At 35.6% G+C, this 3,722-nt stretch overlaps 1 annotated feature.

Moving 5' to 3' along the window:
• Nucleotides 345-892: an enhancer, noted in NCBI's record as "OCT4-NANOG hESC enhancer chr5:90783158-90783705 (GRCh37/hg19 assembly coordinates)". NCBI's record gives its function as "activates a minimal SCP1, AML or CMV promoter by ChIP-STARR-seq in primed H9 embryonic stem cells {active_cell/tissue: H9 hESC(primed)}" and the evidence as "EXISTENCE:reporter gene assay evidence [ECO:0000049][PMID:30033119]".

Below are 3,722 nucleotides of genomic sequence, written 5' to 3'. Positions count from 1 at the left end.
TTCAGTATGGTGGCTAGACCATCAAAGAGTGTAAAACTTATCCTTCAAGTCCAAGAAGCACTCTAGAAGAGGTTTAGTTGGTTAAAATTTTGAAGTGATGAGTATGAACTTGGAGCTGTGGTTGGGGGTGGAGGGAGTATAAGAAATTTAATCTGTGTTAAAAATGTTACAACTATATGAAAAAAAGCAGAGCATATACCCTAGAGAATGAATCAAAAACTTTTGAAACACAGTGTCACTAAGTAAAAATTATCATGAGACAAATTAAATCCCACGTGTTGAGGGAAGAGTCGAAAACAAGGAAAGTTACTCAAGAGAGGGTGAATTCTATTTGGAATTTTGAAATAGAGGCCAGATGAAAGATTTGCTAGTGGAATGCTAGAAAAGTATCAAAGCAAGGTATTCCATGTGGAGAGAAAGAAGTGTGCAAAGTGGGAATAAATGGTTATTGTTTTGGTTATCTATGCATTACAAAACGTTGCAAATTCTAGTAGCTTAAAGCAATGTATAGTCTCTCATGGCTCTGTGGATTGACTGGGCTCTGCTGAGTAGCTCTTATTTGAAGTGTCTCATACAACGGAAGACAATGGCTGAGGCTTAACTGAGCCACTCATCCAAGATAGCAATTAATGCTGGCTCCTGGTGGGAAGCCCAGTTGCAGCATTCAACTGGAATACCTACAAGTGGCCTCTCTTTGTGGCTGGAGCTTCTCACAGCAACAGCAACTTTCTGAATGGAAATGTCTCATAAGTAAGCATTGCAACAAACAAGACAGGATCTGTGTAGCTTCTTATCACCTATCCTCAGACATCCCATAACATAATTTTCACCACATTTTATTGGTCAAGAAAGTCACTGAGGTCAGCCCAGATTCAAGAAGAGGGAAATTAAAAATCCTCTTCTTGACATAAGTAGAAGCATGTCTATATAAAAAGGAACAGAATTCATAGGGACATTCTTTTACTATCAGTTTGCCTTTTGGCCACCAAAATTTGTGCCTGTACCACTCACTCTTTCAAGATTCTCAATATTCTCATCCCACTATGGCATCAGGCTCAGGTTTGAGGTTCAAGATCTTGTTATTTAAACTGGGTCCAAGTGCAGATGTGCCATGTTTCTTCAGGTTCAAATCTTGCAAGTACAGTTTCTGTAAATCTGAAGACTTGTTAACTTAAGAGACAAATTATCTGCCACATACACATATCACACAATAGTGAAAAGGCATAGGATGACTGAAATAGATTCTCTCTTTCACAAAGAGACAAAATGGTAGGTACATAGCAGGTCCACAGACGTTCTGAAATCTATTTGGGCATGTGTCACTGGTTCCCTAATTATGGCACAGTCCTATTTCCTGGGAGTGATTCTCTGTAGCTTTTGACTGCTCCTCCTGGGATCTTGATTCTGCCCTCTGAGTCATCCCTCTTTCTTCATGAGAATAGTCATCTTTGCAAATAAGCAGGGTTTTTTTTTAACTTGTCTCCTGCGAGTTAGGAATACAAAGAATTTCCTTTTCATTTTGTATCATCTCATCCCTTTAAGTCAAACTTTGTGTAACTCCTTTAGAAGCTTTGTGGGCCTCCTGTGTGTCAAATTATAATCCACTCCACTCAACAAAATTCACACCCCAATTTCTTTCTAAAAATACTTGGCCCAAGCATCAAAGTCCATGGACTTTAGGGTACTTAGAAGCCTTTTTTCTAGTTTAAAATATCTAAGAGTCACACTCTTAAGATCTTTAGGGGACCTATTTTCTATCAGAAAGGGCATGCATTAATATTTTTGGAAGCCCTAAGCACACCCTTAAACTTTTCTTAGGTCACAACAAACGTCTTACAGGCAAACCCTTGAGGTTTTAATCTGAGACTATGCCTTATTGATAGCATGCTGGATCTGATCATTATTCATTTTTCTGGTGTCATCACTGATTTTGAAAATCTTTTGTTGGGAGAGGCTAAAGATGAGAAACATTTTTTTTAACACAGAAAGTCCCAGCTTCTTCATGTTTCCTCTAATTTTGCTTAACAACTATTCCTTAAATTTATCTAAAGTCTTTTTAAACACAGTTTTTAAATTTCATTCTGAAAGGTCAAAATGCAAACATTTTCATTTGGAAAATTCTATAATCAAGAACTAATGCTAATCTTTTGGAAGACAGTACAAACAAGTAAGAGAACAGTGTATGAATTTCACTGCCTATTCTTTCTGGTAATTGGTCTGTAGCTACAACAATTGTGTCCTAATTTCAAGACACACCAAGGACACTGGCTAATAAATACTTTTCTCAAAAAAAACATTAATCTATCTATGTCTTTATCTCTCTAGAAGAAACATCCCCATGACTTTCAGATCTGGCTGCACTGTCATGGTTGTAAAGCTTCTCCCATTGCTGGTTATTCTCCCCTCTCACAAGGCCACATCCCTCGCTGATGAAGACAATATGCTACATTTGCCCCTACCAATATGAAGTACAGCAGCACTCTCACCTCTCTGTGATGTATTTTTAAATCAGTTAAAAATTATACCAGCATTTTTTGCAGCTGCCTCATTACCTAATTTCTGTGAGGAAGGCTGCTCCGATTGTGCTCTCCTAGTATGCCTCATCATGTTGACTTATTAGTTATCTTTCCGTAAACAATTCTTTAATATTATCTTATTACATTCAAAGTTTATGTCAAAATACTTAATTAGAAGAACAGACAGCTATTTGATGACTCTAAGAGGGAACCTGCCAAAGTCATTTTTCCTCAATCCCAAAATATATGAATCAGAACATCCTGATGTGTAACATATTTATTCTAACTGCTTAAATTAAAAGTTGCTCAGAAGAAGTGTTTTTATACTTACCAATTTAATTAACATTTACATGACTGTGAGAAGCATCTTTTATACCAATGTTTAATTCACACATCAGTAAGCACTAATGACAAGTGTATTACCATATCATCTTCTAGCAGTTAGGTATATCAGTGACATGCATCATAAAATTAAATAGTTAACTAATATTCAAAAGTGCTGCAATAAGAAATTATTGTTGTAATTACCAATGTTGAAAGTAAAGAATTTTAATCAAATCACTTTCTTGGGTTCCCATATTTTCAATTAAAAATTACTTTGAGAAATCACAGAGAAGCCTGCTGTTTTCAATGTCGAATGCTTGTCTAATTAATCCATTTTTACTAACATTAATAACTATTACACTCAGCACTTAAAAAATCAGTATAAATATATTCTCTCTTGTTTTTTTAACCTTCACCTCACTCTTTGCCAGCTATGTTTCTTACTGATATTTGGCAACAGGGAAGAGTGTTTACTTTGCTTGGATAAAATAATTGTCATTCCTAGTGTCCAGGAAATAGCCTCATGACTAGACACAGTAGATATTTGAAGAGACTTCCAATTCCCTCTCCTTCTTAAGTTTGTGGCTTTTAACCAATTCTGAAAGATGCCATCAGTTTTTTATGATGGTATCTCATAGTACAAGCTCATACAAATTCTGCTTTCTTTCAGTCCCTTATTTATTTGATAATATAAATTTCCTCTTGGCCTCCTGTTGAAATTGGATTTTCAGAAGAAATTGTTATCTTTCAATGGTACTTTATAATTTTTGGGCTGCATTTATATTCTCTGGTATTTGCTAAAGGTGATTATTCAATTATTACATGAATGTTAAATCAATATGCACTTAACTAACCAAGATGATAAAGAACCCTTACTCAATG

Source organism: Homo sapiens, chromosome 5 (genome assembly GCF_000001405.40).
Source record: "Homo sapiens chromosome 5, GRCh38.p14 Primary Assembly".
Taxonomy (NCBI): domain Eukaryota; kingdom Metazoa; phylum Chordata; class Mammalia; order Primates; family Hominidae; genus Homo; species Homo sapiens.
This window is presented reverse-complemented; position numbering and strand designations above follow the sequence as displayed.